The sequence below is a fragment of the Homo sapiens genome, chromosome 11, assembly GCF_000001405.40.
Source record: "Homo sapiens chromosome 11, GRCh38.p14 Primary Assembly".
NCBI classification, from domain to species: domain Eukaryota; kingdom Metazoa; phylum Chordata; class Mammalia; order Primates; family Hominidae; genus Homo; species Homo sapiens.
Window position 1 is genome coordinate 18,752,871 of NC_000011.10, and position 22,514 is coordinate 18,775,384.

The 22,514-nt window shown below is 48.9% G+C and overlaps 1 protein-coding gene across 11 annotated transcripts in view, besides 6 other annotated features; it reads right to left on the reverse strand.

Annotated features, from left to right (window-relative positions):
* The window catches only part of PTPN5 (protein tyrosine phosphatase non-receptor type 5), a 64,794-nt gene that overhangs the window by 24,943 nt on the left and 17,337 nt on the right, over nt 1–22,514 (reverse strand). For 4 of the 11 annotated variants that reach the window (XM_017018437.2, XM_017018434.3, NM_001039970.2 and 1 more), the window contains exons 2-3: nt 19,069–19,201; nt 12,937–13,013 (exon numbers count right to left, since the gene is read on the reverse strand). In XM_017018437.2, coding sequence (XP_016873926.1) covers nt 12,937–13,013; nt 19,069–19,088 — 97 coding nt within the window. In that variant the 5' untranslated portion in view covers nt 19,089–19,201. The remainder of the gene's footprint in view (nt 1–12,936; nt 13,014–19,068; nt 19,202–22,514) is intronic. The other 7 variants (XM_017018439.2, XM_017018436.2, NM_001278239.2 and 4 more) reach the window with 2 other exon arrangements.
* Nucleotides 8,639–9,139: an enhancer, noted in NCBI's record as "H3K4me1 hESC enhancer chr11:18783056-18783556 (GRCh37/hg19 assembly coordinates)". NCBI's record gives its function as "activates a minimal SCP1, AML or CMV promoter by ChIP-STARR-seq in naive H9 embryonic stem cells {active_cell/tissue: H9 hESC(naive)}" and the evidence as "EXISTENCE:reporter gene assay evidence [ECO:0000049][PMID:30033119]".
* Nucleotides 9,140–9,640: an enhancer, noted in NCBI's record as "H3K4me1 hESC enhancer chr11:18783557-18784057 (GRCh37/hg19 assembly coordinates)". NCBI's record gives its function as "activates a minimal SCP1, AML or CMV promoter by ChIP-STARR-seq in primed H9 embryonic stem cells {active_cell/tissue: H9 hESC(primed)}" and the evidence as "EXISTENCE:reporter gene assay evidence [ECO:0000049][PMID:30033119]".
* Nucleotides 17,339–17,388: an enhancer, noted in NCBI's record as "active region_4512". NCBI's record gives its function as "activates an Ori minimal core promoter by ATAC-STARR-seq in GM12878 lymphoblastoid cells {active_cell/tissue: GM12878}" and the evidence as "EXISTENCE:reporter gene assay evidence [ECO:0000049][PMID:35858748]".
* Nucleotides 17,640–18,141: an enhancer, noted in NCBI's record as "H3K4me1 hESC enhancer chr11:18792057-18792558 (GRCh37/hg19 assembly coordinates)". NCBI's record gives its function as "activates a minimal SCP1, AML or CMV promoter by ChIP-STARR-seq in primed H9 embryonic stem cells {active_cell/tissue: H9 hESC(primed)}" and the evidence as "EXISTENCE:reporter gene assay evidence [ECO:0000049][PMID:30033119]".
* Nucleotides 17,758–17,807: a silencer, noted in NCBI's record as "silent region_3194". NCBI's record gives its function as "represses an Ori minimal core promoter by ATAC-STARR-seq in GM12878 lymphoblastoid cells {active_cell/tissue: GM12878}" and the evidence as "EXISTENCE:reporter gene assay evidence [ECO:0000049][PMID:35858748]".
* Nucleotides 18,142–18,641: an enhancer, noted in NCBI's record as "H3K4me1 hESC enhancer chr11:18792559-18793058 (GRCh37/hg19 assembly coordinates)". NCBI's record gives its function as "activates a minimal SCP1, AML or CMV promoter by ChIP-STARR-seq in primed H9 embryonic stem cells {active_cell/tissue: H9 hESC(primed)}" and the evidence as "EXISTENCE:reporter gene assay evidence [ECO:0000049][PMID:30033119]".

Genomic DNA, 22,514 nt, shown 5'->3' on the forward strand with positions numbered 1-22,514 from the left:
ACAGACTTGAGAGAGCATCTTGCTCCATCCTCTCATTTCAAAGATGAGAAAACTGATGAGATCCAGAGAATAAGAGGCAAAACCAGGACTGCCATGCTCATCTTTAAGCCTCTAGTTCAGCTCTCTCATTAAGCTAGCATATGAAGTTCAACAGGGATTGCCTGTGGATATCTGGAAAGTCTAAGGCTTGAGGCCCCATGGCAGTGGAAGGCTGGGTTCTGGCTTGGGGTTCTTTGAAACATCCTGTTAAATGCCCTCAGAGGTCTAGGAAAATCCAGGTGACAGGAAGTGAACTCTTCAGCCCAAGGTCCCCCCAGGACAGCAGGGCAAATCCCAAGCCTCCAGAGGCTGCCAACCATCAGATGGTCTTTGCAGCCTGGGAGGCTCACACCATGTTCTCAAGGTGTCAGGGGGCCTGGACTCTCTGGCTGTGTGATCTTCGGCATCCATCTCACTACCTCAGGGGGCCTTCCAAGTGTCCCGTAAATTCAAAGAGTGGGACTAGGGGTCTTTTAGGGTCCTTCTATCTCTAAAGATCCACTGTTACTTAAAAATAAATCTGAACCTCTGCTTTAGTTTAATTCAATGGCTTCCCTTTGTTCTTAGGATAAAAACCAAAATCTTTGCCCTTGCCATGGCTAACAACAAAGGACCACCATGCTCTGGCCCCTGCTTACCTCCCCAGACTCTACCCACACCTTCTCCTAGTTTTCTCTGCTCTGGCTTCTTCCAGATCCTCTGTTGGAACCAGTATGGGAAGCAGAAAAGTCTGGAAACTGGTGGTTCTGCCCTAGGATGTTAATGTCAAGGAAATCCTCACACAGTCCCCAAGGGAGCATGTAAGCCAGTGTTCTCTCCTGTGCTATGTGTGGTGGGGGTAGGGGAGTAGAGACATCTGCAAGCCCATGGCTGGGGAGCTGGTGGGCCAAGTGTTCAGGGACATCTTGGGGAGTGCTGTGCAGCCCTTAGGAGCAAAGGATCAGAGTACCATGGCACCGTGGGGGAACTCAGAAACACAGTGTTGAGTAAAAAGAACAAGATTTAACACAGTACAATATGCACAATTAAAAATATAGACACAAAAAACATCACCCATTCTGCAAGGGCGCATGGCAACAAAAAACACACATTAAACACATTACCTGTTGAGAGAGGGGGCACAGCAGTGGGACATAAAAGGAAGTAAATAAGTGAATAAAACTAAAGAGAGAGCCAGTATGGCCCACTGGAGATAACAGGACCATGCACTGAGGAGTATGATGGAAGATGCTCTAGAAATTCTTGAAAACCACCTTTTCCTCTCCAAGTAAACCCAAAACAAAACCACCGAGTTGGAAGTTGAGCCAAGGTCCAATGGGGGAAACAACGAACGGAAATTGAGGGCCCTTCACCCTGTTTGCATCCTGGAACTGGGAGAGCTGGAGAGAGAGAAACCCTGGCTGTCTGGGAATCAACAACTCCGAACGGAGAAAGACTCATGGACTGAGCTGCAGCACAGCCGACTGTCAAGGAGACCCCTGAATCTCCTTTCCTCCGAGCTGGTTCACCAACATGACCTCTGAGTCATGTTCTTGGCTTTCTACAGGGAGAGGGGAATTCCATGCCTTGGTGGCTGTCTTCAAGAATAACCAGCCCCATTAAGATCCCTAGGGTTGGGTCAGCCCCATGTTTCCACCTGCCAAGTTGAACCAATCAACCCAAAGGGTGGTGACTCAACTCAGAGGGCCCACTCTCTCACCAGCTATCACTCTTGCTTGGCAAGGATTAATTAGTATTTTGGAGTGGCCAATCATTTTTTCTTAATGATTTTAGAAAATACGAAGACCTCCCCCTACAATAAAAGCATAAAGCAAAACCAAGTCATCCATACTCTTGCCTCACTGAGAAAGGCGTTGTTTTCCTTTTGATGTACTTTTCTCTCATTGTAGGTGCACTTTTACCTCGTGCATCGTTTTGTACGTAGGCATATCCTGAGACTATGCCTCTTTGGATTACAAGGATTCAACTTTTAAGCAATATGGCAGACAGCCTCCAAGGTGGCCCTCAGTGAACCCTGCCTCCTGGTCTTCACATCCTTGTGCAGTCCCTCCTACGTGGTACCAGGGTTAGTCTTCATGACCAACAGCACACAGCAGAAGTGAAGGCATGTCACTCTAGGATTAGGTCCTAAGAGACTGTGACTTCCATCTTGGACACACTCTTGCTCCCTCGTGTGCTCTCTCTTGGATCACTCACTCTGTGGGGAACCAGCTGCCCTGCAGTGTGGCCACTGAGGCAGCTCGTGGAGTGGCTTGTGTGGCGAGGTACTGAGACCTCTGGCCCAGAGGCTGCAAGGAACTGGAGCCTGCCAATCACCTGTGAGTGAGCTTAGAAGTGGATTCTTCAGCCACAGTCGAGTTTGGGGATTATTGCAGCCCTGGTCAACAACTTGAGATGTTGTGAGAGATCAGGCCAGACTGACTTAGGCCATGCGGCTAAGTCATTCCTGGTTTCCTGACTTAGAAACTGTGGGGGATAAGGAATGTTGTTTTAAATTACAAAGTTTTGGGGGTAATTTGTTATGTAGCAAAATATAACTAATGCAAGCGGTTTTATCCCTTCCTCAGGTAATATGGATTTTCATAGCAGGCTGTATTCCCAATGAGGAGAGACAGGCCTAAGAGGATGCGGGTTGCCCTGCTTCTGGATACCAGGACCCACTGGGAGGCTAACTCAAGACTGGCAGAGGGTGGCACTGGGCTGGGTAGAGGACTGATGCACAATTCCAAATGGTCTTGCTTGTGATTGATAAGGGGTTTGCCTCAAGCTAGGTGATGTTCAACAGGGATATGGGAAAAAAGATGATCTTTTTTGGGCCTGACGCGGTGGCTCACTCCCGTAATCCCAGCACTTTGGGAGGCCGAGGCGGGCAGATCACAAGGTCAGGAGTTCGAGACCAGCCTGGCCAACATGGTGAAACCCTGTCTCTACTAAAAATACAAAAACTAGCCAGGCATGGTAGCATGTGCCTGTAATCCCAGTTACTTGGAAGGCTGAGGCAGGAGAATTGCTTGAACCCGGGAGGTGGAGGTTGCAGTGAGCCGAGATCGTGCCACTGCACTCCAGCCTGGGCGACAGAGTGAGACTCTAAATAAAAAAAAAAAAAAAAAAAAGATGATCTTTTTCAATATCTAATAGTCACGTCAGGCACAGCCCAAATAGGGCTGAGATGGGGTAGGCTAGTGACTGGTCCTCAGAAGAAGGATGCTGTATGCAAAGCCTTGTCTTGTTTAGGAAAATGGTGTGCAATGGGAAATTCTGGGCAGGCTTCTCATCTGTATTTTAAAAGGCAACATTACCCCAGCTGACATCTGGCTTATGTCTGGTTCAGACAGCCTAGTTCCCTCTTTGCTGATAACTCTTCTTGGTCCCTTACATCCTTCACTTTTTTTTTTTTTTTTTTTTGAGACAGATTCTCACTCCGTCACCCAAGCTGGAGTGCAGTGGCATGATCTCTGCTCACTGTAACCTCTGCTTCCCGGGTTCAAGTGATTCTTGTGCCTTAGCCTCCTGAGTAGCTGGGATTACAGGCACAAGCCATCATGCCTGGCTAGTTTTTGTATTTTCAGTAGAGACAGGGTTTTACCATGTTGGCCAGGCTGGTCTTGAACTCCTGACCTCATGTGACCCACCCGTCTCAGCCTCCCAAAATGCTGGGATTATAGGCTGAGCCACTGCACCCAGCCCATCCTTCAGGTTTTAACCACTTGGAATTAAAAAGAAACAGCACCGGCCGGGCGCGGTGGCTCACGCCTGTAATCCCAGCACTTTGGGAGGCCGAGGCGGGCGGATCATGAGGTCAGGAGATCGAGACCACCCCGGCTAACACGGTGAAACCCCGTCTCTACTAAAAATAAAAAAAAAATTAGCCGGGTTTGGTGGCGTATGCCTGTAATCCCAGCTACTCGGGAGGCTGAGGCAGGAGAATTGCTTAAACCCGGGAGGTGGAGGCTGCAGTGAGCCAAGATCGTGCCACTGCACTCCAGCCTGAGTGACAGAGCAAGACTCCATCAAAAAAAAAAAAAAACCAAAAAACAAAAACAAAACAAAAAGAAACAGCACCAAGGTCCTAATAAACATCCCCACCTGTCCCACACATCATTTTCATATGTGTGTGTGTGAAATTCCAAAGTTTAGAGATGTAAAGTGATTCATGCAAGATCCAAGCTCAAAAAGGGCGGAGTCCAAATTCATTCACATCCAGGGCTTCTGAATCCGACAATAAGAAACCATAAAAAAATGAGCTGTGAATAAGACTTTATGGTTTACAAATCCCCATTCCCATCCATTGTCTCACTGAATTCTTATAACTACCATGAAAAAAATTGCTTTTCTCATTTCACAGTGGAAATGCCTCATGGGAGGGATGGAGCAGTGCAGGGTTTGTCCAAGCCCATCAGTGAAAGGCAATGCCCAATACAAGGGCAGACACACTCAGCACTGTCTTTACACCCAGGAAAATGTCCCTCATCCTGATCTCACACTTTGAAGGGCCCTGCTCCAATCCTCCATCAGGTATGCTCCTCCTCACAGGTAAGGAGTCCAGGGAACCAAAGGGACATTCTCCCTGTAAGGCCACATATTCAAAACCCCAGATTCCCTGGTCAAATGCTCCTCAGCCTGATTCCTGGACCTGGTGGCCCTCTTTTTTGACTGCTTCATGAGAGTACACTGTGCTGTGTGTATTCCTAGAACTGGCTAAGGTGACTGTTTGCAGAAGGTGTGTTTGGAGCTCAGATGTGTGGGCTGGGGTACCCATCTACCCAAGTGCTCATGAGTGTCCTTGTGGTGCTGGACAGAGCAGGGGTGGACTGGAGACTGGCTTTCCCTAGACCCCATATTTTGGTGCAGAACTCAGAATTCTCTATTTGAACCTGGCTTTTAAACTCCCTACAAATGAATATTCGTCAGAGTGGAAGGACAACATATTTCCTTTCAAAGCTTATCAGCTTGCTTTCGAACAGTTAGCTATCTAGACATAACATATACAGCCTTACAAATGTTAGGGGTGGGACTGCACACAGCTGTGCTCTTTGAAGTAGCAGGGAGGAGAGCCAAAGAAAAGAGAAGAGCAAAAGAGCCGAAGATTTAAGCAACAAAGGGTCAGTAGCTCAAATAGTGGAAGGTTGGGGAAAAGAATGAGACATGGGATGAAGGCCAAGGGGAGGAAGCTTTAGGAGAGGATGAAGCTAGTGTTAGGAGGAATGTGAAAGCTTATAAAGAGGATGTGCTGGTGGATGAAGGATGGCCACAGATTCTCTGCACTCCTCCTATCAAGAGGTGGCATTTACTTCCCATCCCTTGGATCTAGGCTGACCCTGTGACTGGCTTTGATCAACAAAATGTAGTGGAGTGACATTGTGTAACTTCTGGAGCTGGGCCTTAAGAGATCTGAAGCTTCTTTTTTGCCCCTCTTAGAGTGCTCCTTCTTGGTAATCACATAAGAAGTCCAACTACCATGAGACCATCATGCTGTGAGGAAGCCCAAGGTAGGAGCACTGAGGTGCCAGACATATAATAAAAGCTTTCTCCGACATTCTATCCCAGCACAGAATGAGGTGTGTTCAGCTGAATGAGTGACCTCAGCTGATGCCACATGGAATGGAAGAATCACCCAGCTAAACCCTGCATGACCCTCCAAGTCATGAGCAAATAAAATGGTTGTTGTTTGAAGCCACTAAGTGTTGAGATCGTCAGGCAGCAACAGACAACCAAAACAGATGCTGAGATCTGAAATGAAGAAATGAGCTTCAATGGAAGGATGAGTTTTTTTTTTTTTTCTTCAGATATAAAGAATTCCTGAGAGCTGGGGTGATTTGTCCCTGAGCCAGACCAAAGAGAAAGGTAATGGCATCTGTCACTGCATATGTTAGGAGTACGATGGATGTCCATTTGTCTAAAAGGGCATTGGCATCAACCTTTGAAGATGCAGGGGACTGGACCAGATGCATTCCTTCTTTCAGTTGCAAAGACTCTCTTTAAGTGTCATCACACATCCAGGCAACTCCCTAGAATATGAGAACTGTTTCTATCCTGGTGAAGGAAAACGGAGGATCATTCTCCCCACCAACCCTGGCCCCTTAAATATGTAAGCATAAAACACTCCTGCCTGTGGCTGTGCTGGTTCAGTGAGGTCTCAGACCTGTGGTGGGGAGTCAAGAAAGGACCACCAGATACACTACCCCACTCCACTGCTGTAGAACTGGCCTGGACCTGACGCCCGAGCCCCAGGCACAGGAACACAAAGAAAGAAAAAACACAAAGGAAAAAAAGGTTTTTTTTCTGTTCACATTCCATATCCTGGAACAACCATCACCGTCACTATTAGCTATCATTTATAGAGCACTCTGTAATAAGCACTTTACGTCCATGAACTCAATTAATCCTCACAAAATCTCTGTGAAGATGTCATCATATTACTACCCTTATTCTAGAGTGAGGAATTTGGAACTCACAGCAGTTAGATAATTTACCACAGGTCATGCTGTTGGTCAATAGCAGAGCTGGGATTTGAACCCAGCTGCCTGGCCATAGCACCCCAAGGCCTAGCTAGATGGGCTCCATCCTGGTGTCTGAGAATAGTTAGCCTCTACTATTGCTGACCAGTGGGCACCTGGGATGGTACTTCTTTTCTCAACACAATGGCATCGTTACAGAATACTGCCCAGTTAGTGTTCTTAGCACATCCAAATGGTGTTTCGTTTATACTTTAATTATCCATTCTGAAGACTCAAGTAAAAAACTCATCGTACCATCAATGACAATAAATATCTCTAAATGTATTTGAAGTCTTGAATGAAAACAGAACCATCAATTCAACAAAGAAATAAAAATCAACAGAACCTCTACCACTGAGTGTTGACAGCTACCGGTGACATCTCAGCAGTACTACTACAACCAGGTCCATCTTCTGGAGGTTTGTCCATTTGGGCTTCTGCACCTGCCCACAGACCAGCTTAAACCAATATAAGCACCACTCTGGGGAGCTTTGTGAAAACAGGGGCTAGCAGATCAGGGATGAGGCCCATTATGAGGTAAACCTGCTCCTTAAAATGCTTGACACAGCAGGTTCCTGAAGACATGAATCGAGACCCTATTCATGTTCTAGGTCACTTCTTAGAGGAAGCCTTCCCTGACCCACCAAGATAGGGTTGCAAAATGGCTGTACCCTTCCATGGCACCCTAAACTCTTTAGGAGCAGGGACCATGTCTGTCTTGCTTGTCACTGTATCACCAGTGCCTGGCAAGCATGGAGCATGGAGTAGGTGCTCAATAAAATTGAGTGGATAAAAGAATCAGGCTGCCTTTTCAACTGCCCTTGTTGGCTACTGGTCCAAGACCTCATCTGTGGCATGGTAGGAAGGCTATGAAAGCTATGACTTGTTCTTTCCTGCTGGTCAGAGATAGGCGCTGCAGGATTAGGGTGACAAAGCTTTCCTTGATTCAGGCCTCCAGCTCCTTTACTTTAAAAAGTGGCACTCGGGATGGGCAGTGGCCTCTTGCTGAGACCTAGACCTTGTCCTTGGCCCGAAGGAAGGGTCCACTTAATACCCACAATGATACAGAGCAGAGTGCCTAGGGCTGGGTTGGGGACAGGTTGCAAGACATCAGGATCTAAGGTGAAGAGTAGGTCTCAGAATCACCAGCCCAAGAGGCCAGTTGTTCCTACCAAAAGTGCAATGGCCTACTCAGGCCTTCAGCATACTCATGACCTTGCATAAAGCCAGCTAATCATGACACACTGAAATCTCAGGTTGGTAGGGATTGTCATGGCTCCAGCCAGCTGCCCGCAGGAAGGCTCCAGGAGTACTTTGTTCCCAAGAGCAGCGTTGTCCTTAGACCTGGGCCCTGTGCCCCGTCTCTTCTGTCCATGGCACTCCCCATGAGCAGAGAAGTCCATAGGGCTCAGGAGATATACTCAACTAGAGTCTGTTAGCAGCTGGTGTCCATGTTCCCCTTTCCAGGATACACTCTAACTACTAGGACTTCAGGATTTCCTGCCCAAATGGCTTGAAGCCTGCATGGGTCTCTTGCTCAGGTACATCCCTGTGAGGGTAGACACTGTCTCCTGCTTACGCATCTTCAGGTTTGAGGGGTGGCCAAGGAGTAGCTATTAGGGTGGAGTGTGGACCAAGCTTGAACATACAGACTGGCCTGCCCACATGCATGCACGCAAGCAATGGCCCTTGCAGTGCAGGACTGAGCAGGGGTGGTATACTGCGAGGGTCTTTATTGGCAGTCTGACCTTGGTCCCTGCAGGCCTGCCCACGAGTCTGCATGATGATGCTGCTGAGAGCAACACCTGGTGATGTTGCTCTATTCCATGTGCTGGCCCCCACTGGCACCTACTGCTGCTTTATCTACCTCCTTCTTCTACCTTGTACCTCCGCGGCAGCTGCTGGGAGCTAGGACTATGCTGGGCTAGGCCTGTACTGGTGCTGGATGGGGGAAGGAGTGGAGTCCCCAACATTAGCAGTGCCACCTGGTGTCTTGCAAATGTGAACACCTACACATAGAAGAAGAGAGATTGTGAGTTTGAATGTACCAAAGTGTTTGGGTGACTGTGAGCAAATGAAGTGAGCAAGAAAGGAAGAGTGAAAGAGAAGAGGAGGGTGACCACATGAAAAAGGGTGTGTGCATGAGGGAGAAGAAAAATACATGTGTGCACATGTGCACAGGGGTGGGGAAGGCAGTGGGGTAGACACTCACTGCCCCCACAGTACCGGGGAGCTGGGCATGACTGAGAGCCTGAGAAGAGGACAGAGAATGGAGAGGGAGAAAAGGAGTCTGCCTAGTCATTTTCAAGAGTGTGCGTGAAGAAGGGGTACAGTAGTGGGAGAAAGAGAAAGACACCTAAGGAGGGAATGAGAGAGCAAGCACATCACCAGGAAGCATGCAGAGTGGAAGCCGCGGGATGGAGGGATGGAGCTGAGAGAGGTGAGTGTGCAAGAGGAAGGCATGCAGGTGTGTGAGCCTGGAGGTGTGCGTCCGCCCCTGCAGGGCTGTGTGAGACAGAGGCAGGCCACGTGCCCGGGTGACTGTGCGTGGGAACATGCATGTGCATCGGGGAGCATGTGGCTATGACAAGTGAGCACAAACACGAGTGTGCGAGAGCACATGTGGGGGGTGTCCCAGGGGCTGTGAGGCAGCATGCCTGGCTCTGGGGCATTGGGGGGAGCTCCCAGGGAGTGTTGGTGATGCTGAGGACGTTTCCACCAAGAAAGCTCTGATGGGACTGTATGACCTGTCCTGTGTTGGCTCAGATCTGGGTGATCGTGGTGGCTCGGAGTGTTGGCCATGTTGCCCCCATCTGAAGGTGGGTGTGGGAACGAATGAGCCACCAGGCATGGCTGGCCCTCACTCTGCCTCGCCTCTGGGTAAGACAGAGAGTGGAAAGAGTACTTGAGGGCTGGATTTTTATACCATCATTATGCAATTGCCTGCAGTGCTCATGGGCTCCTTCTAAAGGCCTAACACTCCAACTCTCTTGGCCTACAAACTCCCATTTCCTTTTATGTCCAAGTTGCAGTACAGGTCAGTGTCCTTGACAAACATTTGTGGAAGTCTACTCTACACCAGGCTCTGGTGTAGAGTAGATTTCCACAAATTCAATGTGAATTTACCCTATTCACAATGTCAAACCATTCCCCAGTTCTTTCCCATCCCCCTCTTCATGGCTTTAATTGTCTTCATAGCACTTACTACTATTAACCATACTATGTGGCATGACTTACTTATTTTATTTGTTGTCTATTTTTCCTTAATAGCAAATGTCTGTACAGCATTTGCTATATGCCAGGCACTGTTCTAAGCTTTCTGTTAATTCACTGAATCCTCTAACAACTCTGCACAGCAGTGAATATTGTTCTTGCTATATTGTGAATGGGGGGTCCAGAAAGATTCAGTAGCTTGTCCATGATCATCTACTGGTAAGTGGTGGGGCCAAGCTGAGGTCCAGAGTCCCTGTTCTTGACTAGCACATAATACTGTCCTGGGAGGGTGGGAACTGTTTTCAGTTTGGATTTCTGTTCAATCTCTAGTGCTTACAACAGTGCCCAGCACATGTAGGTGCTCAATCAGTAGTGACAGAATGAAGAAATGAGTGAATACATGCTGGACATGGAGGATGCAGAAATGAAACAGAGAGGTCCTTGCCTTCAGAGAGCTCATGACCCCATGGAGGAGGCAAATAATTACTGCAATCCCCTATCAGGACAGCATCGTGGGAGTCTAGAGGGTCACACAACTTGCTCGGCCTCTGCAAGCAGGACTTCCCAGAGGAAGGACACAGATAGGGACAGGCACAGGGACGTTGTCTACCTCCTCCAAACTCCTGTCTGGAACAAACGCACCTAAACTCTTTCTGCCTCAGTCCACAGGGTGCCAGAAGATGACAGTGGCTCCATGGGGACAACAGAGGCAGAACAAGGTAGCGGTGACGACACGGGCTACTGAGAGAGACTGCCTGGAGTGAATCCTCCCTCTACCAGCTAAGTGACCTTGGACAGACTGCCTAAGCTCCCTGGGCCTTGGTCCTCTCATCTGTAAGAAGGGGTAGCAAATGACACTGATTTCCTAGGATATTCCATGACCAAAACTCTTCTATTCTACACTGGTTGCTTGCTTTTGGGGAGAAATGGGAGAGAACATTGGGATTTAACCTATTATGCTTATTACTGCAGCCTCTCTGCTGCGGCTTCATCCCATTTTGCAGAAGCAGCTCAGAGCTGAAGTTGTCCATGAACTTTCCTTAGGGAAGGGACTATGTCTGTTTTATTTACCTCTATATATCTAGCACCTAGTACCTGAGACCTAGTAGGTGCTCAATAAGTACTTGAGTGAATGACTGAGTGGTTACATTTATTTATTCCCCCAGGACACTTGTGAGGATAAATATTCATATTGCTATTGTTTCTGCTCACAGATGAGGGACTGGAGCTCCAGCAAGGTTAAGTGACTTGTGCATAAACACACAGCCTGAAGCAGAACAGGCGGACTCAAACGCCAAATCCCATGCTCTTTCTTCCTCCACACCGTGCTACTCTCTGGACTCCTATTCATCCTGTCCTATTTTCTGCAGATTTCTTCTAGTCAGTGGTGCCATCCCTGATTGTAGAGTCATCTCCGAATTCTATGACTCATATCTGAATCACAGAACTGTTTAATAGTTGAAGGGGACTTCTGATGTCATCTGGACCTCCCATCCATTGTGGAAATTTCCTCTCCATTGTCTATCTATCTAGTACTTGAATGCCTCCTGTGACGGAACACGCATTTCTTCCTCTGGAATTATTGAGTTCTATGACTGGACCACTTTTAGAGTCAGAGAGTTCTGCGTCTATGGGCCAAAGGCCTGTTTTTAATTTCAATGCCTTGGGCTTACGTCATCCTAAGATACACAGAATAGATCTGCTGCCCCTTCCGCAAGACAGCCATTCAGATATTCAGGAAGTTCTCACATCTTTTCAGAGAATTCTCTTCTAGACAGACGGTCCCATCTTAGACCGTCTCAACAGGCTGTCCCAAGTGTTTTGAGCAATGGCACCCCCTACTGGTTAAGGTATGAACTGCATCAAAGGGCTTCCTCAGGAGCTGGGGCACTGAGTGTGGTGTGAATAAAATACCACTTATTTTGAAGAGTCATCGCTTTAGACTCATACCTGGTTGTTTCCAATGTCTATCTTAAAGAGTATCACGTGAAGACTCCATTCTAAGGTTCCTTGCCAATCATGAGGTCTCTGAAAAGCTACAGGTTTGGAATTTCAACGTTAGAGTTCAAAAGACTTGTCTTTGTTTTGTTTTGTTTTGTTTTGTTTTTTTGGAGACGGAGTCTTACTCTGTCGCCCAGGCTGGAGTGCAGTGGCGCGATCTCGGCTCACTGCAAGCTCTGCCCTCTGGGTTCACGCCATCCTCCTGCCTCAGCCTCCCAAGTAGCTGGGACTACAGGCGCCCGCCACCACGCCTGGCTAATTTTTTGTATTTTTAGTAGAGACGGAGTTTCACCATGTTAGCCAGGATGGTCTCGATCTCCTGACCTCGTGATCTGCCCGCCTTGGCCTCCCAAAGTGCTGGGATTACAGGCATGAGCCACCGCACCTGGCCCAAAAGACTTGTCTTCTAACAAAATGTTCAGAAGGAGAGATATGAAAATATATGCTATGTTACAGGATTATGGCGATTTTTCTTTTTTTATTTGTATTTATTTTCTAATATTTTGACAGTTAACCTTTTGTTATAAGAAGGAAAAGAACAATAAAAACTTATAAAAAAATGTAAAACTCTCCCCCCACCCCTTCTTTTTCTTCCTTCTGAGGCTGTTTATCATGGCGTGGGTCATGGGGCTACAACTGGGACGAGCTGCCACCCTGTGGGCAAGAGTGCCTTGGTAATATCTCCACGGTGGCTGCAATGGCTTGGCTCCCTGCAACTGTGGTCAACTGGACTCAAGCAGCACAGTTTCACCCTCAAGCCGGGCTTCTCAACAGGGAGGTCAGGTAGTTCTCCACATCCCCCACCCCATCCTTGGCTCATGCTGCCTTCAGGTTTTGCTTCCTACCCTTACCTCTTGAAGTCAGCCCAGCCCTGAATGGTCAGTGGTCATTCCCTAGGAGCCCTGTACTCCTCAGCTCTTCGTCCTTCTTTTCACTTCCTAGCACACCTTCAATTGCCTGCTCTTCCCTCCATGTGAGCCTAGAGCAGCTCCAAGTGATAACAGGTCAGAAGGCATCAGGGATTAGAAAAACAAGTCCCCATTTAAACGAAGAGCTATGGAGCAGCTGCATGGATATTCTTGCGCAAGTTCACAGCTAGCTAGGCTTTACTCCAGCCCCAGCTTCAGCCGGGGCATTGTCTCTCCATTCTGAGGTCTGGGAGGAGCTGGGTGCTGAGAAGACTCACCCGGTAGCCTCTCACTGCAGCACATGTCCAGGGCCCCTCCCTCGGAGTCATCAGCAGCGTGGTTCTCTCTCTCACTCCTGCAGCAGGATGGAAAAGGTAAGAATATGCTGTTGAGCCAGGATCAAGACAAAAACCCTGAGCAAAGATAAGAAGGCTCCCTCTCCTGTATTCTGTATCCCTTTGAATAACCCCACCCCATCAAAGGGACCTGAGGAAAATACCAGCCTGTTGAGGGGTCAAGCTGCAGAGGCAGGAGCAGAATTTTGCAGGTGTCTTCCTTGTGGAATCAGTGGCAGCAGTATCATCACAACCATCATCATCATCATCACCATCATCATCACCTCTACAGTAGGAGGATTTACTATACGCAAGCACTTTGCAAACTTTATCACATTAAATCCTCACCATGACCTCATGAATGAGGGATCATTAAACAGGCTCAGAGAGGTTAAGTAACTTGCCCAAGGTCACACAGCTCAATAGAATAGAGATGAGTTTGAAATTATGACCTAGGACTCCAGGCTCATGCTCTCGCTGTTGTGCCATTCTGTCTCCTAGTTCCAGTAGTTTTGAACCATGGGTGGACAAGAAGAGGGCTCTGAGTAACCCACAATCCTGTGTCCAGCTCTCCAAGATATGCAAGTCCCCTCTGCCCCAGGCAGTGAAAAGTGGTATGCAGAACTCTTCTCCAGAATAGCTAGAAAAAGTAGTTACATACATGTTTTGTATAGTCTAAATGTTTCCTTCCTGAAATCAGAGAACCCTCTTTCTAGCCTATTAGGGCACCTTATAGGAGAGTATGGGGGTCTAGTTTTTCTCCTTTACCTGGCAAGCTGGAAAAATGTTGCTGGAGATCAGCTAGACCCCATGAAGCATCTTGAGAGTAGACATATCTTGAGGGCAACCACTTGACTCACAGGGGGTCCCCTACCCTGGGAATGGCCTGAAATGCAGCGTGGGCTCCAGTGGCCTTGTCTGCCTTTCATGTCTCTGACCCTTGGCAGTAGCTGATGACTGATCCAAGGCTGAACACACAAACCAGCCTGGGTCAATCAGATCCTCTCCCTTGCACACTGAAAATGCATTCTGATGCATTTTGCTGGTGCTGAATCATGGTAGCCACAGTGCCCTGGAGAGAAGACCTGCTGCTGAGGGCCTGAGAGCTGCCTTGTTCCCATCTGTACTGAGTCTTGGACAATATGCCCTTCAAGACCATAAGATGGCCGTGGATCCTTCCAATAAATCCCCACATTTTAGCTTACGCCAGTGGGATGTGATTTCTGAAACTGGCAACCAAAAGAACCTTTGACATAGCCTTGCTAGCATACTTTCAGGAATTCCAGAGGCTCAGCTGCTTCTCTGCCCCCAAGTCCTGCTATCCTGCTTCTTGGACTGGCCCTAGGGCCAGTTTCAGGCCCAATTCCAGATTTTAAATAATTAAGGGCAGAGAGGTCAGGTTCAGGGTGGCCCTTCTCCCTCTGATATCTTCTTTTTCAACTGGCATTATATCATTTTATTTTTTTCCTCAACCCAATTGCCAGGGTCTCTGAGAATCACAAGTCCTAGAGCCCAGCACTCCTGCAGAGAGGAGGTCACTTCCTTCAAGGTAACTTTAAGTGCATTCTTTAAATGTCTCTGGAGTCCCTCCACATTTCTCCCTCCCCATCTTGGTCCCAGCCACCATCATCTCTTGCCTAGATTGCTGTGGCAATATTTTAACTGGTTGCTGGCATCCACTCGGGCTGGCCTCCAAAACATTCTCCACATGGCTCCAGTGCTTATGGCACAGAAAATCTGTGCAGTTTACAAACTGCACAACTGGATGTGGAAGTCCCCTCTGCCCCAGGCAATGGAAAGTGGCATGGTGAACGCTTCTCCAGAAGAGAGGAGCTAGAATCAATTCCTCAGAACTCAACGTTTATCACATAACCTTTCTTGAAAAAATATTTTCATGGCATCCTTATTGTACTTAGAACAAAGAAAAATCCTTTGGCATAGTTCATAGATGTTGGGTGGTCTGGTCCCTGTGGATCCCTCCAGGCTTACCCTAAGTCCCTCTCCCTCTTGACCTCTGCACTCCAGCCACACTGGGAAGGCTCTTTCCTCACAGCACCTTCCACATGCTTTTCTCTCACATGGTATGCACTTGACACGGTTAGAAATGTCACTGTAATATATGCCATTATTCAACATCTGTCTCCATCATTAGACTGTGGCTTTCATGAAGGCAGGGTCCACTATTTCTGTTTTATTTACCATTGTATCTTCAAAGCCTCGCACAGTGCCTGGTTCGTAGTAGGATGTTCAATAAATAAACACTTATGGAATAAGTAAATGTTGACCTGACGTTCTTGAGAAAACATTAGGAATCTCAAACACAGCCATCATCTGAGCTGCTTTGTGGACGGGTCTTTGCTAAGTAGCTGGGAGCTCTCCTCCACAGCTGTTGTCCACAGAAGTCAGAGAATCACAGATCTGGAAGGCCTCTCATTTTACAGAGGAGAAACTGAGCCAGAGAATGGGGTCTGACTTGCCCCACATTTTATACTGAGTTGGTGGTGGCCACAGGGATTGTGTTTGAGAGCACCCACCCCCAACCTTCCAATCCTAAACTTGTTCTTTCCTTACCCTAACGAGCACCTAGCTGGATGGCAGCCCATGAGGGCTGACCCCTGGCTGGGTACAGAAAGGCACAGTATCCAGATACCTCTGGAAGGGGACCCATGTGTGACTCACACCTGCTTTCACACCTTAAGCCTCTCAGGCCCCAAGCTGTGTTCAGAATAGCTCAGTGCTTCATGTGTGCAGTGGACTCTATAAATAAGCTTCCTAGAAAATGACTAATTTCATAACCAGAAAAGCAGAACGAGTAGCACCTCTTGACTGCAAAGGAAAATGGAGCAAGAGCCTCTGCTGCTCTTCCCTGTAGTCGAAGGACTCCAGGCAACCCCAGCCACAGCCTGCGTGTCTAGACTGTCCAGAGGAGGGTTTAATTAGCTTTCCAAAGAAAATACATGGCCCATTCAGGCTGGATGGGGAACCCAGTCTCTGGGCGCTGCCTTCCTCCCTCCCCACCAAGAGCAGAAATAGCTGCTTTTATTGGATTGCTAAGGCTCCTGCTCTCTCCTTCCCCACTTCTATCAGCCAGGCAACAGGAACAGAACACTGGCCTGTGACAACAGCAGCCACTTGCTGGGCTGCCCCCACCACTGCTTCCCTTATAACCAGAGACCACCAGGGATGAAGGGACTTGGAAATCACCCAGCCTGCCCCCACTTCACTGATGGAGGATGTCCCGGAGTGAAAGTAGCTTCCCAAAGCCATCGTCGCATTCAACAGGCGTGTGCTGAGCACCTCCTGTGAGCAAGGCCTGGAGCTGCCCTAGGAATACAGTGATGAATAATCCAGGCCCCTCCTTGCAGGCTCCCAGTCTTCTCAGGGAGACAGACATGCAGACACGACTGTACCCTGATGCCTGCTTTAATTGATGTATGCATGTGACCATCCTGGGGAAGGCTCTGCTCATTTGTGGGAGGGGCAAGGGGAAGAGGAAGTCTTCTCCAAGGGGGAGACAGGAGCTGGTTTTTTTTTAAATTAATTAATTAATTAATTTTTGAGACGGAGTCTCACTCTGTTGCCCAGGCTGGAGTGCAGAGGCATTATCTCAGCTCACTGCAACCTCTACCTCCCCGGTTCAAGTGATTCTCCTGCCTCAGCCTCCCAGTAGCTGGGATTACAGGTGCCTGCCACTATGCCCAGCTAATTTTTGTATTTTTAGTAGATACGAGGTTTCACCGTATTAGTCAGGCTGGTCTCAAACTCCTGACTTCAGGTGATCCTGCTTGCCTCAGCCTCCCAAAGTACTGGGATTACAGGCGTGAGCCACCGCGCCCGGCCAGGGACTGGTTTTTAAAATATGTTTTTAGGTGAATGGGGGGTTGGGAAAAGGATTTCTTGGGTAGAGCAAATAGAAAGAGCAAGGCATGGAGGCCCAAGATGTGTGGAACATCTGGTGCCATCAGAAGTAGGCTGGTCAGTGGGATGGAGCAGCAGATGGGGGCTAGGCCTCAGCAGAGGCACGTGGGCAAGAAGCAGCCTAGAAGACAGGAATCCTGCCTCCTGGGGTGGCGGGGGAAGCCCTCTTCCACTTGATCATGTGGCTTCCCTGTGGCTTCCCTGCACTGAGAGTGATGCTGGCTCTCTCACACCTGGTCTGGCTGGGTAGGTCTGTAACACGAAGTGGGGGAGCAGCAGCTTACGTTTAAGGAATGGACTTTAGACCCAGCTGGTAGCGTCCGATCTGGTCTGAAACTACTCTTTTTACTGTGCTAAAATTCCCATAGCATAAAATTCAACATTTTGACCATTTTAAAGGGTACAATTCAGTGGCATTTAATACATTCATAATGTTGTGCAACCATCATAATGATCTGCTTCCAGAATATTTTTGTCACCCCAAAAGGAAATCCTGTACTCATTAAGGAGTCACTCCCTGTCCTCCTCCCCACAGCCCCTGGCAACGGCTTATTTGCTTTCTGTCTCTATGGGTTTGCCTATTCTGGATATTTCATATAAATGGAATCATAAAATATGTAGCCTTTTGTGCTTTTGTGTTTGGCTTCTTGCACTTAGCAAGTCCGTAGCATACATCAGTACTTCATTCCTTTTCATGGATTCCTTTTCAAGGCTGAATAATATTCTACTGTAGGACAGACGATGTTTTATTTATCTATTCATCAGTTGAACATTTGGCTTGTTTCTACCTTTTGGCTATTTGTGAGTAGTGCTCCTGTGAACCAAACTGCTCTGTTTCCACTCTCCTCCCATCACGCTTGTGGTTTTGGGCAATCCTTTCTGCGCTCTGGGTCTGAGGCCTCACTTATGAAAATATGGTGGTCAGACTCCAAGCCTGTTGTAACTTGAAGGTCATCACCTTCCTCTGCTCGTTCGTATGTGTGAAGGTAATGCGTTGTGCAGCTACGCCACCAGTGCTGGGTGCTGGAGATCCAGCCTAGACCACCCACCCCATTTTCTAGAAGTTCACGGCCAGTGCAGAAGATACAGAACAGCTGCTGCCGTGGGCTGGGTGAAGTGTTCTAACAAAGGCACCGCCCCTCTGCCTGGGGGGTAGAGTGGGGGATGGGGGGTGCTATTAGGAGACATCCTGGAGTCTCCTAACATGAAGTCCCAGCTTTGCCCAGGACTTATGCAGAGAAAGAGCTGGCTGGTTTGCTGAGCCAATCAGGGAGCCTGAGCCTGCTTCCAAGGTCGGTGAGGAGCAAGGGGGAACTGGGATGCTGAAGCCAGGATTCCTGGGTGTGAGGCTGAGCCAAGCCCAGGCAGACATGCCCTCTATCCTGGGCTTTGTGCTCCTGGTACCCCGTAAATACCCCTCACTGTCAACGTGGAGCTCCTACCACCCTCTTAAAGCTCCAACCCCACCTGACATCTCTATTCGCTGAATCAAACCTGTCCATTCCTCCCTTCGAGCCTTGTTTGTGCTGTTCCCTCAGCCTGGAAGATCCTTTTCCCCTTTTGTCAAATCTTACTCATTCTCCAAGGTGCGACTCAGGCGGTGCGTCTTCCACGGAGCACTCCCTGATCTCTCAGGAAGAACTGCGTCCTCCCACTTCTGGGCTCCCCCACACACCTGGTTCATATGTCCCTTTGTCTCTTACTTTGTTCTGCTGCTATAGTTAGCTGTGTATGCACCTGCCTCTCCCACCAACTTCCGACTCTGGAGCATCCTCACCCCCTCAACCACCTCTGCATCCCAGGTGTTTAGCACAGGGCCTGAGCCTGTTGATGTACACCTTAAAGGCCAAATGCAGGGTAGTGGCAGGGTCTCAGGGTTGGTAGCTTTAGGGGCTCTAGGAAGGCAGACTCCAGCTAGGAGCATCCCAATTAAAGAAGATGGCCAAACCATAGCCAGGAAGAGGCCCATAATGCCATCCAGATTTTCATCAGCACGTTCAGCAGGCAGGGGCAGAGGGCATGCTGGTTTCATGGAAAAGGAATGATCAGGCTGAACACCTCATGAGAATGGGTCACGTGTCCCAGAGCATCCAGATGGAGAAGGCTTGGCCTCCTCAGTGGGCGGGTTGCAGGGGGACGGCGTAAACGCTCACTCACCTGGCTCCCTCATAATTCATTCCCAAGGTGTCTGGATGGGGAAGGGTGCCATCTTCCAGGGCAGGAAGCTTTCTCAGCAAAAAGCAAGCTGGTGATATAAATGAAGGAGAGAGGGCAGCTTCAGATCATCCAGCTGGGAAAACGGGGCAAAGAGAGATTAAGTGACTAGTCTCAGGTCACACAGTGTGCCAACAATTTGCTTTCAGGTAGTTAAAATCCTGATTTCCTTCTGGGAGTCACCTTTCTCCTCCCCTGGTGCCCTGCTTGCCTCTTGCTACACAGACAGCCCAGAATCAGAACTCAGTATTTATATCATACCCCAAAGCCTTCTAATAAATATCTTTTCTGCCTAAGTTACTCAGAGTCCTCTTCTGTTGCTGGCAACCACAGAACCCAGACTGATGCGTGCAGCAAACTCGTGGAATGAATAGGCTCTGAGCCCAGGACTCCCAATGCTTAGTTCACTGCTATTTCCGTCCTGCCAAGCTGCCTACCCTCCTTGCCCAGCTGTCCACTGTCCAGCCATCTGTCCTCACGTCTGAGCAGACTGCAAACTTGAGTGTTCTGGATCCCAAACACAGGGTCTGAGTGTTCTCTGCTTGGGATGTGCCCAGACAAATGACTTCCCTTCCATCCCTCCTCTTCTCTGAGTGGGAGAAGTGGGTGCGGGCATGGCAGGGACCCCAGGGAAGGGAAGATGAAAAGTGCAGGGTAGGCCCAGCCTGCTGAGGGGCTCGGGCAACAGTTGTCCATTTTTCATTTGAGTCTGATTCAGGGATTGGACCATTCATTTGTTCAACCCGTTTACTAAACACCTGCTATGTTCAGGCTACGTGTGGGACCCTGGGAATACAATGAACGACAAGCATCTCATGGGGGATGTAGGTAAGAAGAAAAGGCAATGGTGACACAGGTGACCCGTGTGCGGGGAGACGAGCAGGGTGCCCTGGGAGTGCCAGCCAGACCCCTAAGGAGGCAGAGGACTCAGGAGACGTTTGGTACCCAGGAAGGGCCATCTCTGGTGAGATGTGAAAGAGGAGTGGGGGTGAGAGGCCGTGGGATGAGACAGGAGGGGGTGGGGTGCTCCAGGTAGAAGGAGGGCATGTGGACGGGCCTGGAATTGACACAAAGCAGGACACATTCAAGGACTAGAAAGAAATGTAGTCTAAAAGGGGAGTGTGGAAAGGGGGTGAACCGCTCACTTGGAATTTTTTCCTTTTCCCTCCCCTTCTTTCCAGAGAGGTAAGACAGACCTATATTCCCTTGGGAGAGGCGGCTTGGCTGCAGGACCAAAGGCCAAGTTCCTGGAGGAGCTATCCTTCCAGTCTTTGTTTTGTAAAAGCTGGAGCACCTGGGGGCGGGTGTCTCTTTGTCAGGGAGGTGGGGGTGTGAGGAAGGGGAGGGGGTCTCCGGGCCTGGGAAGGTGACAGAGCCCATCAGTTTCATGACTGGTGCCTGGTGTGTGGGTGGGTGGCACTGAGTGCATAGAGAGGGCTGGATCTCAGCCTGCAGGGCTTCCGCTGCACCCCACACGGCGTCCTCCCGACAGAAGGCACAGAGTCTGCAGACCCAGAGGGGCTCTTCAGTGGGGCTGGGGTATCTCAGCTATAATCAGTGTGGTTTCCTTGAAACATCCCTGGCATGGGGGTCACAGCAGTGGGTCAGAGTCATTCCAGTGATGGCTGGGATTGAATTTCCTACCAGATAGGGATGCTGGGGAGCTCTGAGTCTGGGCTAATTTCATTTAAGGAGCATAATGAGACATTTCTTCCATACCTGATATTAAGGATTAAAAAAATCAACCAGTTCTAAGAATAGATTCTTGGCTTGGGAGGCAGGAGACCAGCCAAAAAGGTGGGTGTGTCAATCAGGTAAGAGATGGGGCATCCTAGCCTGGGACTGCAGCTGGGGACTGCCCCCTTGCTGGGCCACCTGCTCCAGTCACTCTGATTTCAGACCGTAACTGCCTCCTCATCACCCCCGTGACCATGAAGGACATCCTTCCCTTCACCCTTTGCTTACGTTGTCTCTCTTGCCTGGAAGGCCATCACCTCTTTGCACCCCTCCTTAAAATCAAACTCAGACTTTAAGCTCCAGCTTAATCTTGAATTGCTCTAGGAAGCCTTCCCTGGGGATAGGTCTTCACTCTGCTCTAGTCAAACTGTGTGGCTCTAGGAAAGTGTCTTTATCACTCTGAGCCTTAAATTTTTCTCATATGTCTAACACGGATGACAACACCTTCCACACAGGATGGCGGTGAAGATCACCAGTGAATGAGAAAGGTGAATGTTGACTATCATGGTGACTGGTGAACAGCAGGTGCTCAGGATCTGTGCAAACCACCAACAAAGGCACAGCAGAGAAATGAGGGTGGTGGTGGTGGGGAAGCAGGTGTAGACAAAGGGCTCTGAACAATGCCAAGTTGTCTGGGGCAGCCTTTGGACAAGAGAGGCATCCCAGGACCATGTGCCCTCCCTCGCTGACAACAGAAAGGCGTTGCTGGGCCTGCAGGTGTCTGTGGTCTGGTCCAAAGGTCCAGTATGAACTGAATTTACCAGCTTCCCCCTGTACTCTGAGGAGGAGGGGGCTGGAGGGGGCTTGAGGAGCCCTCGTCCTGCCAAATTCCTAGATTGGGTGGGATGGGAGCAGGAAAAACACACACAGATTCTTTGCTGGCTTTGGCCACCCTGCTGGGACCAAAGTAGCAGGGGCTAGCTGCATAGGCAGCATTGAGAGAGACCAGGGGCTCATGATTGAAGCCAACACATTCTGTCCTAAATACATCTTTGGGGTGGAGGGTCAGAAATTCACAGTGATTCAGCTCAGACTCTGTGGACCCTCCCAGCCTCTTCTCAGGGCCACTTTGGCTTTCTTTTAAAATCTACACTTTTAAAATTTCATGGTCAGGTTGGTGAGGATGGAAGGGAACAGGAGGAGGTGATCTGAGAGAGAAAGGAAGCAGGAAAAAGGGCAGAAGCAATCTTCGGACCACCTGTTCAGTAACATCTTAGCTCCCGACCGAAGAGGATAACAATGACAGTATCTTCACAACAGAAAGGGCAGCTGTCACTACTGCACCCGGACCACACAGGCCAGGAACTGCTCCAGGGCAGGTGTTAGCAAACTCAGTCCTCACAGCAGCCCCTGGAGGAACGTACTAACGTTTCCTGCATTTTCTAAAGGCGGAAATGGAAATTCAGAGAAGTAAAGTGACCTGCCTAAGGCCACACAGCTAGTTATCACAGAACTTCCCCCATTGCCCACATTCCTAACCTCTCTTTCACTTTTTAGCTTTTGGTAAGAAAAAATATTCCGCAAATACAATAGGAAGAGACAGCATATCATGGCAGTTGCTTTCTATATGTTCTTTTAAAAAATCCTCACCATAAATCTATGTGAGTAGCATGTGATGATCACCATTTTTACAGACGAGAAAACTAAGGCTC